The 20,099-nt window shown below is 30.8% G+C and overlaps 1 protein-coding gene across 18 annotated transcripts in view; it reads right to left on the reverse strand.

Moving 5' to 3' along the window:
• DENND1B (DENN domain containing 1B) overlaps nucleotides 1-20,099 on the reverse strand; it is a 277,403-nt gene that overhangs the window by 87,072 nt on the left and 170,232 nt on the right. For 17 of the 18 annotated variants that reach the window (NR_125340.2, XM_011509248.3, XM_047447711.1 and 14 more), the window contains 2 exons: nucleotides 15,254-15,355; nucleotides 3,389-3,514 (listed from right to left, as the gene is read on the reverse strand). Coding sequence is in view for 17 of the 18 variants with exons in the window: in XM_011509248.3 (XP_011507550.1) it covers nucleotides 3,389-3,514; nucleotides 15,254-15,355 (228 nt within the window). In the remaining variant the exon portion in view is untranslated. Of the gene's footprint in view, nucleotides 1-3,388; nucleotides 3,515-3,925; nucleotides 15,230-15,253; nucleotides 15,356-20,099 lie in introns of those variants that run through there. The other variant, XM_006711194.4, reaches the window with a different exon arrangement.

Consider the following 20,099-nt stretch of genomic DNA (forward strand, 5'->3'; position numbering starts at 1 on the left):
GTGTATCACGGCCGGGCGCGGTAGCTCACGCCTGTAATCCCAGCACTCTGGGAGGCCGAGGCAGGTGTATCACGAGGTCAGGAGATCAAGACCATCCTGGCTAACGCGGCAAAACCCCGTCTCTACTAAAAATACAAAAATTAGGCGGGCATGGTGGCGGGCACCTGTAGTCCCTGCTACTCGGGACGCTGAGGCAGGAGAATGGCATGAACCCGGGAGGTGGAGCTTGCAGCGAGCTGAGATCACACCACTGCACTCCAGGCTGGGAGACAGAGTGAGATTCCATCTCAAAAAAAAAAAAAAAAAAAAGCATCATATGATAACAGAGGCAAAGTAGAACAGAAATATGCCACACTAGAGCAAGAGAGGGACCGTGAAAAAAACAGATTCAAACCTAAGCCCCACTCTTCACTAGCTAGAGAAACAGTGAGGTTACTTAAATTCTATGAGTATCATTTTCCTCATCTTTAAAATATAAAGAGTAATATTTTGAAGGCTTGTAAAAATTCAGTAAGAACACTTATCTAAAGGGCCTATCAATGCCTGGCATCCAATGGGTGCTCAATGGTCAGTTAACGTTTTAATAGTGATCAAAAATTATGAATATCAGTCAAAATAACAATGTAATTAACAAATCATATATGAATAAGGCTGAAGAAATGTGTTAAAATAAGTATAATTAATTCATAGAAAGAAGGGGTCAGTACAAACACAAACTACAGCTTCCAGGATCATGAAGGAACTAGACGGCTATTAAAAGTGAGGATTAAAAGCGTTGCCAGGAAGAAAGAACACTATAAGTAAATGTGTGGAAGCCTGAGAAGCTTGGGACATTCGAAGCCACAGGCAGAATTCTCTGAACTGAGGTCAAAGTTTAGGAAAAAAGGATAACAGACTGCCTGCCCATGGTAAGGGCCTTGAATGCCAGGTGAAGAGATGGCACCTGAGACTGATCTGTCATTGGTCTAACCTACAGGTTTAGTTTTGTTAAAACTAAGGGAAATAATGGTTTATTTTTATGTGTATAAACAATCATAAAATTTTAAAAAGTAATGTCTAGTAAAATAATTCACATTATTAACACCTACTGAGTAATATTTTCCTTTCCAATTGTACTATAGTAGCAGGATACTCCTTAAATATGTTTTTGAAACTTCTCTCTGCACTTAGCCCTTTTTTTAAATATCAACCAAAATATATTTGATTGATATAAAATATTTTTGGTTGATATTAAAAAAAGGTCTAAGTAAAGAGAGAAGACATTGGTCTATTATATCAATGACCGAAAAGAATTATAAAACAAAACATTAATATACTTTTAATAAATTATGATACAAGTAATGTATAAAGATAATGGTTGAAAAAGCATAGTTTATGCACAAAAAGAAATAAATCATTTTCCCTAAAAACTATCTCTTGTGAAAATAAATGGAAAATAATCATCTAAGTGCATTCAGTATACATTAAAAAGGAAGCTTTCATTCAAAGACTGAGTCAGAAAAAATGTAAAGGCATAGAAAATGAAAATACTCCTAAAAAAAAAAAAACTAGCAGCAGAAATGAAAACAGGAAAATACCAAATGTAAAAAGAAAAAAATGTAGGCAACTAAACAAATAAATTTATAACAAAATGTGATCAATAAACAAGAAATATACTCTAAGATAAAATTAAACATTTTTCACAGATAGTAACAATATGGCTTTCAAGATTTTTTTTTAAAAAGTCACTGAAATCTTATACTCCTATCTGTGCAATGAAGCTTAAAGGGTGAGAAAATTAAACAATGAAATCTACAGTAACTAATATTAAAGATGGGATATTTTATTAATTTCAGTCAGCACCCAACAAACTGATAGTTTAAATCATTTTAGAAAATGTTCTCACTTTGATTTGCTCCTTTCTTCAAATCTGAAGTACTCAAAAAATTTTAAAATAAAAATGAAGTTTAGTTTATAAAGATGAATACGTACTTAAATATGTCAAAATTCAAGTAAAGTGATATTTTTAACTTTCCTTCCCATACTGTAAACTTGAAATCAATCCCTATTTTCAAACTTTGACATAACCAGAATCAATCACCAATTTTGTGTTTCAAACTCATTTTTATGTTTTAACTGATGTTGAACAATTCAAATACGAATATGCCCTACTGTAGTATAGATTATTGGTTTCCAGTCTTTTAAAGAATGAGACCCTTATAACTATGAACAACTTTTTAAGACTCCCCCATGTGAGATATGTATACTCTGTATAGTACTATGAATTATATAATGCTTTAAAAATATACACATATCTCAAAAAGATTAGCAAGTAAACTAGACAAACAAGCAGCTGAACTTATAAAAATAGCAGCGGATCTGCCCATGCATTTAAGGAATCCTTCCAATAATTAGATGACCTTTTAGAGCTATAAGGACCACTTGAGTGGGAACCACTAATTCAGAAGTCAGTTTAGAAAAGATACAACCCATTCACATTTGCTTAGTGCCTCAGAGTTTACAATTGAGTTTAACTGAGTTACAACTGAGTTATCCTGAAAGATAGAGGGGGAAGGTATAAGAATTCTCATTTTACAAACATGAAGATCAAAATCTAGAGAGACTAAGGAAATGGGTCAAGGTTACGCAGTTTAGTAACAACTCCTATTAGATAGCAGGTCTTCTTATTACTAAATCAATGGTTTTATCTCTTACAACTTATTCACCCAGTGAAGGAAGAATAGTGTAATAATTTCTGTAAAATCAGCCTAACATGCTCTAACCAACAATTCAGAGAGAGCAACAAATGTATTTTGACTTGCACCTTTTTGGATACTCTTAAAAACTTGGCTATAATTCTACACAATAATAATTAGGGTATTAAAACAGAAAGAATGAGAAAATGAGCTAAGATATGCTAAAGAGATAAACCCACCTTAGCAAAGGGTCATGAATTAGGAAGACAACAAATTTCCAAATATTGTAAAACCTTCAAGTTCTATTTTTCTTAAGTATCACTTTGTACCTGTCATTTCTAAACTCATTAATCTAATAAGCCCAATTGTCTTGTGAATTTCTTAATGATCTTAACAAGATCAGGTAAGTGTTTTAAAATACAGTAATACAAGTCTTTAATTAGTTAAGGAGTAAGTATTCCAATCCTAGAGCATTAATAATGTAACACAAAGACTTTGGGAAATACTAATGAAAGAGTACTAAACAAAACTAAAAATAAAAAGTCAAAAATTGGAGATGAAATGTATGTTTTGAAACACATTATTTTGGATCTTAAAAGATTTCCATGATATTTTTTGAAGGTGTAATATTAAAATGATGTCTCTTTTTTTCTGTCTCATTCCAAAGAACCATAAAAAAGCAAATTAAAACAGTGATGAAACAAAACGCTTACAGGTTTGTATCTCAGTGCATCTCTGTAGGATCCAAACAAAGCAGCCTGTGCTCTAAGAAAGGCCCTAGCTACTCCATCACCCGTAGCTGTAGACTGCTTCTTCAGTTTATTTTTCAAGGCCGAGACCTGCATGACAGAGAGGAACAGTTAAATTAACACCTCAGAAATTGGTACAGCGAGGTAGGAACCCAATCAGCAGGCAAACCACAGTGTCTGTAGGTCAGCCAAAAATTCATCCTCCTCCCTGATAGCTTATCTTTTTAACTGCAGAGAGCACCTGCTGGTCTGTTAATTGAAACGAAAGCAGGAGAGGAGAGTAACGTGCTAATGCAAATTGGTTTATGCTCTCTTTTTTTCCCAAGGCCTCTTGACATAAATAAGCTTTAATTATTTTACAATAAACTGCTTGTGAGCCACATTTCTACAGATTTCTAGCAATTACAACATGTGTCTACTTGTTTTGAGATGAAGCAGGTTAGGTTTTGTTCGTTTTTGCTATGTAAGGTTATTTGTTACAGGTCCTCCAGGATCACTTACCATTTAATTTTATTTTTGGAAGTCTCATTTGCATATATAATTTTCCAGTCATTTGTTGAATAGTTTTTGTCATTATGAGATAAAGAAGAGGGGAGAAGAGATAAAGTTATTGAAATTATACCATGAGTGGAGAATTTTATGCAAATGTTATACATTGTGTCATTTAATCTTCACCACAGTCTTCTAAGAAAAGCATTCATATTCCCATTTATGAATGAAGAAATAGAGGAACAAAGATGTGAATTCATTTGCCCTTACTATGTAGCCAATAAGTGGCAAAGCTGGGATCTAAACCTAGTTCTGTCCAGTTTTTTCCACTACCACATGGTGGGTTTGAATTCAGTATCATTGCCTCATGAACCGGTAATCAGATTAAAACACTAATGTTTCAAATCAAAGAAAAACTTACCTAAAAATGTGCATAATTTTAAAAGATATTTAAGTTTGTTTTAATTTTTCATACATTTTTCTATCTTTTAAGTGCTATGTATTTTAGAAAATGCATATTATTTATGAACAGAATTTTAAGTGAGATCATACTCCTGATGTAAACTCTTATTTTTTAAGGAGGAGGAGATATAAAATGCTCCTATGCATCCAATTCACTGTACCAATTCCTTTCACACAAAATAGAAAACTATATTCTGTTCACTTAAAAATATTGGTTCTCATATATATTCATCAATGCTTAAAATGGAAACATATTAAGTTGTGTAACAATTCTGTTTTATTTAGAAAAAAAACTGGTACGACAAATTTTGGAAAGAATGCTCACTTAACAGAGCATATTCTTACCCTTATGAAACTATCATATAACAAAATAGTCATTTCTCCTTTTTAGGTATATATGTGCATACATATATATGCAAACATATACACACATACATACACATGCACACATATACACACACACAACACATGCACACATATACACAAATACACATGCACACATATATCTATGCAAGAAGGGTTATTTTTATTTCTTTATGCAAGTAGCCCTGACTTTGCTTGTATATGATTGTAATTGAACTGTCAACCTAATTAACAACTAAACTTTGAATAATGCTAATGAGAAATGAACACAGCATCAGAGGAAAGACCAGCTCTACAGGTGATAAAACTTCACAATAGTGACATTTTCCAGTGTAAAGTCACAGTTACTGTGATCTGATCAAAGAAACAGACCCCCATTGGGTCCAATTATAACCACAGTTTCGAAAAAATTATTGAGTTATGTTCATAATCTATGCAGAAAGGCCTTTGCAGTGTAGGTCTTCTCCCCATAGCTGTGATCTTTTCAATTTATATCCAAGCTCCATAGATTCAGATAAAAATTGAGAGCCTAATTCATTTAGCCCACAAAGTGCATAAATCAGGATTCATTTAAGAGGGATTTTTATTATTAAAATCTAATCTCAATAAATGCATATTTTTTGGTAACCCACATATTCAAACAATAATAATTACAAAAATAAATCTAAATTAATGTCCTTTATTCTGAAACTTCTAATGCTACTTTTAAGTTTCAAATGCCTTCAATAGCAATGGGAGTGCATATCAATATACGTATTTAATTACTACCTCCACCCCCAAAAAAGATTACGATGTAAGGAATATGATTCCAGTCTTTTTAAAGTATTATTATATATAAATAGTTTTTTTAAAAGATTTTTACTTTAGAAAATAAAAAAAAATTAAAATGCACCTTACATCTCTGCAAAAGAAAATTCCTTAATGTGTATTTTTAAAAATAAAACATGAAATTCACAACTCAGTTCTCCACAAATCAAGAACACAATGTTCTCTGGACAATCACAACACATATGCTCACTAAGAATACAGGCAAGTCAAGCCATTCCTCAGCCTTTATTATACCAGATCCTTGACTGCATAATTGTTGCCTGAGTTATAAGGGAGTATTAAACACAATGCCACAAGCCATTCCAAACCAAATCATAAATATGCAGCCTTCACTTCCAAAACTAGTCAATGATAGCTCCTGAGATCCCTGTGGATGTGTAGAAAATAGGAAAAGAATGTACCTGTTCTAGAACTATGCTGGCCAATAAGGTAGCTATCAGTCATATACACACTTGATATTTGACTTGTCTCAACTGAGATTTGCCGTAAGAGTAAACAGACACTGTATTTAGAAGACTCAGTACAAAAAAAACTCAATAATGTTCATATTGATTATATTTGGAAGCAATAATATTTAGGTATAGGGTTAAATAAAATATATCGTTAACATTAATTTCACCTATTTCTTTTATGATTTAATGTGGCTACAAGAAAACACAATCATACATGTGGCTCACATTTTATTTTGGACAATGTTATTCTACATGAGTATACTATCTAATTTCATACAGATTTTAAACTAAAATTGCCTGGCAAGAAATATAGTTATATTTCTCCTTTGCCTCTTTCTACATTATTTCAACTTTTACAAATTACATAAAAATAATTTTTCCTTGACCTACTCTAGTGGGCTTCAATTGTCAGTACATCTGAAGTTGTTCCTGTTTTTCAGAGACCAGAAGGGCAGCTAAGTGTTTCTACATGGGCAAATGAATGCTCAAAAATAGTCTGTAAGAAAACAATTGTTTTTTAAAAATCAGTTTTAGATATAAGGATATTAATATAATATAAAATCATTGCATCAACCTGGCTGTGTTTCTGGTCTTTACATCACTGGAGTAAATTATCACCAGTTACCAATGCCCTTTGCAGTGCTAATTAGCTTTTAGCAGTTTTTATCTATAAAAATGATGGGGTCTGTCCTGTACTTTTTAATACCTGGTCTAGGAAAGAGCATTTTCTGCTTTAATTTCCAAACTTCTAACTTTAGTTATGAAATAAATATATCTCTTCCCATGAAATCCTAAGGCTTATACTCACACATAACTCTGAATTCAGAAAAGCATTTGGAGCCTTAGTCATATGGCTATTATCACATAATCCTATTAATACTGAAAAAGTATCAATTGTTTTCTCTTTTTATTCTTAAGAAAGCAAGCTAGCCTCAACCTCCAATGGCTAAGAATTACTTCACAAAGGACATTTTATTGTATTGTCTTTAGAGATTTTACACTCTGTAAATACATTTTTTAGTCTAATTTAGTATTAGGATAGATCACAAACGAAAAGTTAAACAATGAAAAGAAAATTCAGAAATAAGCATCATTTCATTGCTCTTATCAAATGTTTTAAATTCCTTTCAGTGAGAATTCAGACCTCCAAGCAGCCATCCATGGGAAGAATTATAACCTGGATTTTAGCACGCTGGGAATTCACTGCAGCATGAATAATATTACCACCAATTCCCCACTTTTACCCTCTTAGCACTAAAGTGACTATGAATAAAAGGACAGAATTACATAAGTAAACACAGCAAATAGGTACATGTTAAAAGAGTGCAAGCCATGTGCACTCAGTCTAAGTAATGAAGTAATTATACCAAAGGACAGTAAGCCAGGAAGGCAGAGCATAAAAGGGGGTTGAGTTTTTCTGAGAAGTAACAGATTTTTTCTTTTACTTAACTTTTAGATGTGATTTCTAGATATGCTTTTGCAGTAAAAATATATTAACTGCTATACCTAGAAATTTTTATTTTACTTTTAATGATCACAAAGAGAAGCATCAGGGTAAAGAAGAGAAGATAAAAATAAGTGTTCCAAAATAATATTTAGATAATCTACACAACCTAAAACACTCCTAAGATATTTTTAAATATTTCCTTTCATATAACTAAACTGCTCTCTAAAAACTACATACATTTAGAAAAGTTAAAGTGTCAAATAATCATCTGTAGAACAAAGTTATAAAGTTGAAAACTTTTATTCTCCCTTGAATCATGTTATAGTTATCACATGAATTAGATATTAAATCCCTACACTTTTTTAACCTTTCTAAAGTTCAGTTTATTAAGAAGCAAAATTAACACTTCTCTCTTAATAATTTTCTAACAAGTCTCTATTCGAAGATTAAAACAGTAACCTTTAACATTTATTAAATGAAAAGCATATGATATACTTACCTACAGAGCATATCATTACATTGTTTCATTGTATGTTTAAAGTACCTGTCAAATCCTAACGAATATGGCATCATCTACAAGTATACAATGAATTTCCAATAAAATCCAAAGGTCTTTAACAAGAACTACACATCTTTTATGATCGCCCCTGCCTATCTCTACTATCTCATTTTGCATAATTCTTTTGTTTATTTCACTACAGCTATATAGGTCTTGAATTAACCAACCTCTTCCCCACAGGAAAACCTTTATATATGTTATCTCTCCTCTCCCTCTTCTTCCTCCTCCCATCTGGCTTACTCATACTCATCATCATTGAGGCCAATTCTGCAGAAAGATGTTCCTGATACACTGAGCTTGGCTGGACCACAAAAGGCTGATCTGAGAGTGCGGACTAGTAAAAATGGCATCTCAGTTTGGCTAAAATTATTTTCTTATCAGTTTACTTACAGCAGAGATGGCTTTAAGTCCACCAACATCTATTCTCCCTTTCTTTGCTAATGGAAATCTTAAGTTTGGACTGGTGCATATTTAACAAAACTAGGTTAACTCAGCTAGTTTCCAACATCCCTTGGAACTTGCTGTATCCGTATGGCTGGGTTCAGACAAACGGAATGTGAGTTGAGGAACATGACATTTTCAGGCTGTCCCTAAAAGGGATATGAATACCCCTCTGTGGATTCTCCTCTTTACTCTACGGCAAGGTAGACAAAGAGCATACCTTAAACCTAGAGTTGGATGCTATGTATTGAGGATGGCAGAGTTGTTCCACATCTTTGGAAAACTTACCTCTTAATTGTTATACAATAGAGAAATACATTTCTATTTTGATCTAAGAATGAGTATTCAGGTATTTCTGTTATAGCAGCTTAGCTTGTACCCTAATAAATATACCAAACAGTATAAAGGATAATAAACAGTATAAAGGATAATAAACAAACAGTATAAAGGATATATGAGAGATATGAAATAAGAATATAGACCAAGCTCCTAACTGCTTCCATACTTTCTCATACTGGTGCACCTGAAATCCCATCCTCAGTGCAACTGGCACAGCATCAGGTTCCTGCCACGTCATAAGAAAAATGAAACCTCAGGCTTGCAACCTTTACTATTAAGCTGGAGAAGAACACTTGAGCCCCCGAGAATTTATGCACTACCACATAAGATAATGCCTTGCTGCACCACAGAGACACACATGGTTTTTTTCCCGTGCCACTGAGCTACAACAGGTCCAGCCTCTACCTATCTCACCCTTAATCTAAATTAGGATACCACTGTAATTCTCTCCAACTGCACCCTGTTCTTTTATAACATTTGTCTCTATTTGTAATACTAGATGAGTGTTAACACACCATAAACTCTATGAAATCAGGGTATATGTTTGCTTGTTCACCACTATATACCCAGTTCTTAGCACAATGCGTGTACATAGTAGATACTTGATAAATACCTGTTGAATGAATAAATGAACAAATCTAACAATCTGTTCCATGCACAATTCTACATTTATTCCTCCAGTTGACTCAATCAAAGTATCTGTGATGGTGCTCAGAAACATAATTCATTTAAAAGGTCACCAGGTCATTATGATATCGGCAAGGTTTGGGAACTGCTATTGTGACAGTGCTCACAATATTACACACAAAAAGTTGCTTGGATATGGAAAAATCAAGAATTTAAAGGACCAGAAATAAATTGCAAATAATTTTAACAGCCAAAATCAAGGTTTACCTTTTTTAGAAAAAAAAAATATCTGCAGTAACAAGAGAAAGAAGCATGGGAGGAAGACATTAAAAGAAAGGCTAGGTAATTTAGTTGGAAATGAAAAGCCATGAGAAAGCCAAGGAACTTCATTGAGCACTTAAAATCACTAAAAGTAACAAACAATAAATCAACTTTAGAATGGCAGAAGTACAGAGACATAAAGGGGGGTATTACCAAAGCCTGGATCATTGCTGTGGGAAAGCCAGGTTCTCTTACTCAATTGAGAGAAACTAACAAAAATATTTTAAATGTTTACAAGCACAGTTAAGGTTTTCGGGTTTTGCTTTTGTTTTCTTTGTTCTAACATTTAAGGTTTATATTTTCAAAATATACACCAAGAAAACAGTTGGGAGAACAGCAAAATCTATAATAGTTTACCTACAAACAAAAAAACTACTTTGTAAATAATTATATCTCTGATAATAACTATTTAAAAGAATAGCTGAGTTTCCACAGACATTCAGCTGGGTATGCAGAAGCACAATGATTGCCATCACAACATGGTCTCTTTTTCTAAATACAGGAAATAAAAGGTTATGCTCATAGTCAAAAAGTATACTTTATATATACGTCCAGGTTTCTCATTTTCATTATTCTTATTAAAGTCAAATGGAAATATCCTTATAAAATGTTCTAGGAGGTAACTGTAAACAGACTTTAAAAGCAAGTTTCTATTACAAAAGATAAAAGAAGTGTAATTATATTTCCTTTCAGCAATCACTTATTGAATGCCTATTTACAAAGCACAGTACCAAGGCTGTGTGGTGGAGGCAAGGTACACCTAGATGCCTGAGTTCTAACAATTGAAGACTGAGAGGAGAAAAAGCATGACTATACTTTTCCAAGGGCAAACTGAAAGCAATATTTGTCTCCTGAAGTAATAAAATGTTCTCCAAGTTACTCTAGAAGCTGAATGAATCTTTCTAACCTGACCACCCTAGAAATTTGTTAGGGACTTCATTTACCATTAAACACAATAAAGATTACAGCAGAACTGTGGCAAACCTGGAACTAATATAATATTCTCTGGGGCCCTTTTTTTTCTTTATAACATATATTATGACAATTTAACATGTTAAACCTTCATGTTAGATTACAGGAAATATTCAATGAATTAAACATATCCATTGACAATCTGTGTGGTTCTAAGAGTTTAATTTGCTTACATAACTTAATATTTTTTGAAAAGTTTATTTTAGAATTCCCTGAAAAAACTAATTCTCTCAAACTTATCCCCAAATTAATAAATTCACTTGAATGTAGATATTCAAATATTTGATATCAGAATTTTAGAGGTTTTCTCCAGTTCTTACATGCTCTTAATGATTTTTGGTGATTCAGAGCAATTTGTGTCTTTCCTTTTTTTATCACAATAAAACCACTTAATGCACTCCTTCTTATGATTCCTGAAAGCTTCACCATAATATGTATGATATTTTAGATAGCATCATTATAATAAGGTCTTTTCAACGTTTTAGTAATTAAATATGCTTCATACAAAATATAGCTATCCTGTAACATACAGTGGTCTACAGTGACTTGTACAATAACTCTTAAGTGTACCATATTTTCTATACACCCTCATAGTAGAAAACAGAAAATCATTTTCCAATAGTATTATATTTAAGATGAAAATGAAGTTTTAAAAATAGTGCTGAAAATCCTAATTTAAATCAAATGGATCAAACTGATATTTCTTTAACAAGTTTAAGTGGCAAGTAAGCTTCTATAATATATTTTAAATGAGTTATTCATTACATTGTATATCACATTTATATGAAAGGGACCATGGTCTACTGTTTCGGGCACAGGCCTGAGGATCAACCTCTATGAACTGAATCTATAGATATACCATTAACAGTATACTTTCTGTGCCTTGATTTTCTTATCTAAAATAGGAATAGCATATTGACCTATCAATATTATTACTATTCTTACAATCTAATAAGTTTAAATTATTAGAGACCGTTAAGCAATACAGGTAAAAAAAAACTTGCCTGTTGTAATGAATATTCTAATACATGTAACCTTTTCAGATGTCAATTCTAATGTGCTTTCATCTATAGGAATTTACAATTGTTTAATATTCATATGAGAGAATTCCTAAATATTATAATTCTAATTATTAGCTTAATTCCTAGTAAGAGAGTAATTCTATTTATATTTGAAATAGTAACAACCTCCAAATTGCTTTTTTAAAACGTTAATGATAAAAATTAAAATGAGCAGGAATATCTCAGAAATATATTTTAAATTATTATGCAATTAAAACTAAATTCTATATAGATTTGGAATAGGAGGTTTTAATACTGCATTTTCATAAATTAAAATCAAGTCATTTGAGATTTCAAATGTTATATTTAATTCAATTGGTTCTTTTTCTCACCCTTATAAACATACTACAATAACACTAACTGTGATTGATGCTGTAACTGAGTCCTAACATTTACTTTTTTTTATTTCAAAACATTCAAACTATACTACAGATGTTTGAAGGTGTCTATTTGGCACAGCCACTAAAAAATAAAGTCACAATATATTAATAGACAAAAACTACAAGAGTATATTTTATTGGATCTACTGCCTTTAAAAGTTATTCCATGTAATAATCAATATCATTAAAATCACTCCCAATAAAATATGTTTTTTTTTCTTTTAATGATCCAAATCTATAGTGAAATGATGAAATCAAAAAACAAGTGTTCTTGTCAGAAGACAGGAAAAGAGGTTTTCCCCCTCCCTTAACGAAAACAAAGGAATCCTGAAAGCTTTGCCCTGATTTATTTTTCCAATTTTAAATACCTTAAGAGTAGCGGAACTGCTACTGGCATGGTAGTATTTCTAACAGTCAATAAATCTAAAATATTATGTGTGAATATTGGAATGAAGCCATTAAGAAGATTACAGCATGCAACACAGCAGAGGGTCCACAGGAAAAAAGAACTAGTAATTCAGGACAACTGTGACCACTGACCTTTGAACAGCCAAGACCACTGGTCAATCTGACACAATAATAGAGTACACATGCATAGAAAGTCAACCAGCCTGTAAGTATAATTTAAATGCTTTGGTGAAGGATTTTAAAAGGACCCCCCCCAATTAAATCTCAGTTAACCTATTAAACAATCAAACAATACTAATAGTAACATTTTTCAGGTTTCAAGTATATTTTATCAATTTAAATCACACACAAAAAATTTTAGTAAGATCATTTGTGATTTTAACACAACTCATTTAAGACATTTACAATTGTCCTGTTCTGTCTAGTGGGGCAGGGGAGCTTCTAAAATATGATGTGATGCTTCATCCTATTTCCACCAAAATTGTAAGAGATAACTTTAGAAAACTGATGAAAAAGCTATATTTATTAGAAATGGGTTCTAAAAATCACCCAAAAAATTTTTAGAAAATTACTATAACTTTAAACCATCTCACACTTTCAGTAAATGGTCCTAGCTCCATCTCAGAACTATTTTTATTTGTCTATTCTTTAAATTTCTTTATAAGTCTGTGTCCCTGAATTTCAAGCATATATTTAGTTAATCAATCTACACCACCTTTCAGTATAATTTTTATCTATATTTTTAAATATTTCAGTTATGTTTATATTGTCATTTATGAGTAAATAACAAGATAGTCTCTTCTGTCATTTTATATATTCAGGCCTTTACATGTGTGAATATTATTTACTTCTCCATATATTTAAATACTTACATGTGTGAAATATTATTTAACTTCTCCATATATTTAAATAAATGTTCTAATCATCAAACTAATTCTACTAGGAAAGTAGTACTTTTCAATTTAAAAAAGAATCACCCATCAAAAAAATAAAATTTCAAAGATTATTTTTTCAAGAATCATCTATCATTGATTGAAGCTGCCTATAAAAATTTTAATATCACGTACAGAAAAGCTGAATTTCTTTCTCTTTTTTTTCTTCTTTCTCTTTTTAACAATCTTTCTCCCTAAGGCATTAACGGTAGGAAGTACATGCATATAAGGAAAGCATTCTTAAAAGTTGGGATTCTATTTTCATAATTATTTCTCTATCCATTGAATAATACTTTGATTAGTTTTTAAATGAGTAACTCTAATAATTTCTTTGTGATTTTGTTTTTGCAAAAATTTTATAATGAGGTAATCTAGTTATAATGAGCTAAAAAGATGTAATTTTTCACTGGCCTAGGATTAGATTTGTACATTCATAGCATAAGTTTTACTACAGTAAGATAAGGTAGTTGAATTTTAATATGTCTCAAGGTCAGCAAGTATTTTACGGTATTATGGGCATAAATAATCTGATTTTGACTTTAAAATCATATTTTTCCTATCATTAGACAGAAGGACAATCAAGGCTGGTATTAGTGTATTTTTGAGTTTAGGATTTTTAAATTCACTTTCTCAAACTCCTTAATAATGGATTTCAAAGTAGTTCAATATTACAGAAAAATATGCTCTGAAGGCATTTTTATTCCCAAATTTTAATATCCATATAAAGAATAAATGCTTTGTTTTTTTAAAAAGGAAGTTATTTTAACTTAGAACTATGTTATAAAGATATTTTTAAGTAGCCATTAAAATATATACAGAAACAGTACTAGTTTGCATTTTTGTCCTGTACTAAGGAATATGAAGGCCAAAAATAATGCACTTTTGGAGACTATTTAACGTGACATACAGAATATGTCCCATTATAAGCTGCAGACACACGCACACACACACACAACCCTCCGCAAGATCAAAGACCAGAAGAGAACTGGCACTTAATTTATCAGCCTTTACAGACAAAAGACAGTTTTCGTCATTTCAAAAGGATCAGATGTCTTTTATGACAAACTGGGTTTGCAGTTTAATTTACAAATAGAATTCTAAGTAAGCAGTCTTTGCTCTGCCAAAGCAAATGACAAACAGTGTAGGTTTTCATTCTTGCAGCCCTCAGCAGGATAGAAAAGATTAAAATAAAACTGAAATAATTTAGAGAAAACAAATAAATGTTTCAGAAAGTTGAGGGAGATCAAAGCCAGAATTTTCTGACCCCAACTGTACAAGCATTTCTTATTATATTGACCAGTAACATCAGATCATTAATTAAAAGGAAAAGCGCTGGCAGGTGGCAGGGAAGCAAAAGCCGATAATTGGCCCCCTTCTTCTTCTTGCCTTCAAAAACTCTCTCATTCTTTTGCAAGACATGCCACTAGGCAGACAGAAATGCCTACTTTGTAATATAATGATTAAGATGAGATGAAGAGACTTAGGTTTAAAGAAACTCTGCCTAATGAATGCATCTAGCTTTTTAATTATGATCTTACTTTTACAATAAGGAATATGATGTTCCATTCAAAATCTCAACTGCTAAAAGGTAAAAATATTAAATATAGAATCAACATTGATTTCTCTCACACCCCATGCAAATACCCAACCCTTTTATTTCAGATATTAAAAGTGGGAAAAATAACTTAGTAATTCAGAGGTCCAGGAGAAAACATATATGTTCACCACTGAATAGCCTTCATACTTACCACATCACTTGGTAGGTTGTTCAAGTCACTAAATGGTGATTCTAATGTGTTTGTATCAACATTTAACATAACAACATCTTCCAATGATTTGTTTTTCACTCTCTATAAAAAAAACACAATTATGAATACAAATCAGTATATTTACTTTACAAAGTTATGATGAGTTTGGAAACAGAAAACATTATCTTAATGCATTAGGCTTGGGAAAAGAAAAAAGGAAAATCCTATATTATGAAAGGATAGAAACAACTTTGCCTCCTGAGAAAGTCTGACTACAACTCATACGAAAAGATTTAGTAAAAATGCTTAAAATTGAATATTTCCTCATCTTATATTAAACATAACTACAACAAAAATTCTTATAAAATAGGCACAGTTATATCAAACTGTAAACAAATTATATTCTTTAAAATTTACCCATTTAAGTTCAGTCCCATGAAACAAGAATTCATGGCCAGCTCTATACCTATGTTTAGCATAAAGCATATTGCAAGGATAACATAAACCAATAACTATGACTACAGCATTAAACTATAATTTAAATTTTTTGTCTATATTCTATACAAAAAGGTATATGTTGGTGATGAGGACTGAAAGCTGAATAAGAGAGAATAAAAGGATAGCAATATGGAATTTATTGTTAGTAATATTTCTCACATGAATTTCAACAGAAGGTACCAAATTTAATAGCCTATCAGACTATCTTGACTTGTCCCATTTGTTTGAAAGTTTAATCAAAATAGTCAAATTATCTCAATATGTCTACAAATAATAGTAAATAAGAATTTTATCATAGTTTTCATCCTTAAAGAAAATACTTATGGTTCATTTTTCCTACTTAAACTAATAGGTATACTTAATTCATATAATTTTATTAGTCTTATTTAATTTGTAACAAATAGTATTATTCCTTAATAAGTGCTCATTAATTAAATACATTCATGAACTCTGAATTTCATAATTGTATAAGTCAACTAGCAATAGGTTAATAATTTGAGTGTAGTATTTTTTAAGTGGTGGTCTACAATAATAGTCATTTTTGAAAACTGTCACTTAAAATCTTATTATTACCTTATATTTTAAATTGGCCAAACTGGTTATTCTAAGTTGGTCATAATTAAAATTTCTCTGATTCATTTACAATTTCAAATCTCTGCATATTAGAATGTTAAACTTTCTAAAGCAATGGTAGTCTAAAGCAGAGAATTTCCACATGTTAAGAAAGGCATAATGTCTACAGTGAGGACAGATGATTCTAAAAATCTGTCTTCTTTATTATAAAGACTTAAAAGATGGCCATTTCTAAGATATTAGCAGCGAATCACTTATAGTGATACTACTGCAAAAATATTTACAAATACACTTATTTCCTTTTCTTTTCACATATATGCAAAAAGCTTTAAATACATATATGTGTAGTTACCTATAAAGTAACTATAGTATAACTACAGTAACCTATTTTATAAGTAAAAATATAAATTATGTTAATTGCATTTGTGTGAAAAAACATGTCATAATTTTGATTTTCATCTTCAACTTTAAGTTGTCATTTTATGACAGAAACTATAAAGATAATCTAATAAACCTGATGTATTTGTTAAGGGATAAAATGAGTTAGTCTGTAAATAGCCTAAGATAAAGCTATGTGCCCCCAAAGTGTTTCGTGAGGACATTATCACTCAACTCAGAACAAGGAAATTGGTACTACTATGACATGTACAATTTTTTCAAAACTGCTCTTAGTTTTAAAAATCTGGTAATTGCTGAATATTAAATTTTATTTAAGGGACCACTCGAAAAAGAATAGAAAAATATATTCATTTCAAATTAATAAACTGAGATTCCCTAATATGAAAATAATTCTATTAATACATTAACAAAAAAGGAAAAAATAGAGTGTAACAAATTTTTTTAAATTTGGATTAGTATCACTATTTCATCTATTTTTTCCCTCCAAATTAGACTTCAGCTATTTTTTTTTTCTAAATAGGCATTGGAAGTCATGTGGTATATAAAATGGTACCTCCTTCTGTGTCTCACTGTTACATCTCATAAAGTTATGAGATACAAAATTAAGAAAATTTAAAAAATTATCTTTTTCTTCAAAAATAAGAAAATAATATTAGACATAGACTGAAATGCTTATTAAGAACAACTGTAAGGTGGTGAAGTTAGTGAAGTCTTTCTCACACCCTCTATGTTTAACTTTTCCATACAATATGGCTACAAAGGTACTTTTGCACATTAATACAAAGAAATGACATAGTGGCAGCAATCACATGATCTTATAAACCTGGGTCAACATTTTATTTAGAATCCATTGTATATTAAAACAAACAAGATAATCCTCACATTTGTAGCCTTTACTAATTTATTCCTAATGACCTGCAGGCTTTAGTCTGCCTTGAGTTCATCCCCAAAGTCTAGTTTTCAGGCAGAACAAAATGTCTTTAGCCTTTATTTTAGAAGGAAATTTGTATTTTAAAAAGATCTGGCCATCCTTTACTCATAATTTCATTAAAACAACTGAAAGAAAGATGTTAAGGGATATGAATTTCATGACTTTGAACAACTACATTTAGAAGTTGTTACATTAGGTTGGTGCAAAATTAACTGCAGTTTTCGCCATTAAAAAAAAAAATAGCAAAAACCGCAATTGATTTTGCACCAACCTAATAACACAATAAAATGTGTTGAAACTCTCTTGACCAAGAGAGAGGGAATAAGAAAATATTTTAATTATTCCTTAAAGAAAAAATTGGTTGTAATTGCCAGGCAAAATGCAAACATTTACTCAGTTCAGTCTTACATACTAAATATGTAAATAGCTGTATCAATATTTTAATTATGAGACCATTTTGGTAAAATTAAAAAGCATAAAAGCTAGAAATTTTAGTGAAAAAATCCGCCTAATAGTGGCATAACAAGAATGAAATTTGCAGGATTTACATCATCTTGTAATAGATTAACAAGAAAGTTGCTGAATGATATCCAATTGTTTTAAAAGAATTCCTGAAGTCCCCAGTATAGCTTCTCATTCACTAATAAACCAATTAAATAAAATAAGGCTGACTATTAAGACACTTAGATAAGTCCAGAGTATGAAAAATACAGAGATTTCAACCAGTCTAATAATGGCTTCAAATATTCTCATTTAATAATAAGAGCCAATTTAAAGTTAGAATGGATTATTCTCTAAGACAACACTTTTTAAGGAGCAAATAATTCTTAAATTTGCTACTTAAAAACAGTATTGGTTTTATTTATAGGTATCCAAGAATATATGATAAATTAAATTGAATGTTTAAAATATATACCCTTTTATACAGTATTTTGGAAACGCTGAATCATTTGCTTTAAAAGTTGATGTAGAATCATTATGCAAAAAAAAAATTAACATCAACAGGTAACCAACAACTTTAAATATTTTTCATCTCTATAAATAAATAAACATGTTATAAAAATTATGTATCCTATTAGATTCATTAAGAAGCGACAAGTACACTAATATAAAAATCAAATTTGATGACTTTTTAGAAGAGAATCCAACCAAGGTTAGATTTTAAATGAAGTCAAATTACTGATACATTAAATGCTAGTCATATATTCCACAATCTAATAACAAATTAAGTACCTACTCATTCATATTTTATTTTATGTAATTTATCCTTTCACTGAAAGTACCTTGGCATGTAAGAATAAGTTTTCTAGAAATGAATAAAAAATAAGGAGTCATAAAGGTATCCAACTCAGACTTCAATATTACAAACAAACCTACTAAAGATATTTATTTAAATATGTTTTTTTTGTTATTGTTGAAACAAATAAAAAATGTTGCCCTAGCATTTTGTGATAAGAAAAAATGCCGGAACCTAGAGTACCGGTCGGAATCCACAACCTGGACCTCCTAAAGGGGCGTGACTCTTTCCCAATATGATCCTCAGGAGTTTTAAAATATATCAACAGACTCATCTTTGATCAAAGTAAGGACTGATGGAGGGTATACAGTGATGGCAAGAGGAAAACCAAAGCTAACTCATTTAGGTTGCTTATTAGAAACTGGGTTAAAGTACAATCTGTACAACCAGCAAAAAAAGACAAATTTATCTGAATAAAACTGATAGCATCTAGCATAATGACACCACTCAATTGACCCAAGACTTTGTTTTAATTAAAGCCTTTTGCTTATTTTATTAGATGCTGATCCTATACCAAGACCTTCCTGGAAATCTCACTAATTTCAAGTTCATGGTGTTAATAGTTCAAGATCTTTCACTATAGGAATAACTTAAGTGACAAAAATAATTTTAAAATGATGTGGTAATTGTGGAAAAAAATTACTAAATTTTATATTCCCCAACAGAACTGAAAATTAAAACTTAAGGCTATATTCTAAAGTTCATGATTAGTATATTAAAACCACATTTAAAATGTACACACTGATAAATGGGAACATAATGAAGTCTGCAAAATAAAAAATTTTACTTCATGACTCATAAGTACATAAATTGTGACTTTCAAAATATAGGTCTGAAAAAGAGATATAAATGATCTCAAGTTGCCATAAAAAAAGGCAACTGATCAAGGACTGAAGTTTTAGTATTTAAAACTTACCATATGATTTCTACCAAACATAACCTATTTTTATGGATTTCATGCCATAAAAAATGGTCATTTAGTATGTTAATTTAAATGTAATTATTTCAATGTTGTCTTTTTAAAAATGATAAGCATACTCTAAATATGAAACTAGTCACTTCTTTGTCCTATACCACTGATATTTCTTCAAAACAAAACTGTTTTAACTATTATTTTATGAGTTAATTTTATCACTGTCTCATGTCTG

This window comes from Homo sapiens, chromosome 1 (assembly GCF_000001405.40).
Source record: "Homo sapiens chromosome 1, GRCh38.p14 Primary Assembly".
NCBI classification, from domain to species: Eukaryota; Metazoa; Chordata; class Mammalia; order Primates; family Hominidae; genus Homo; species Homo sapiens.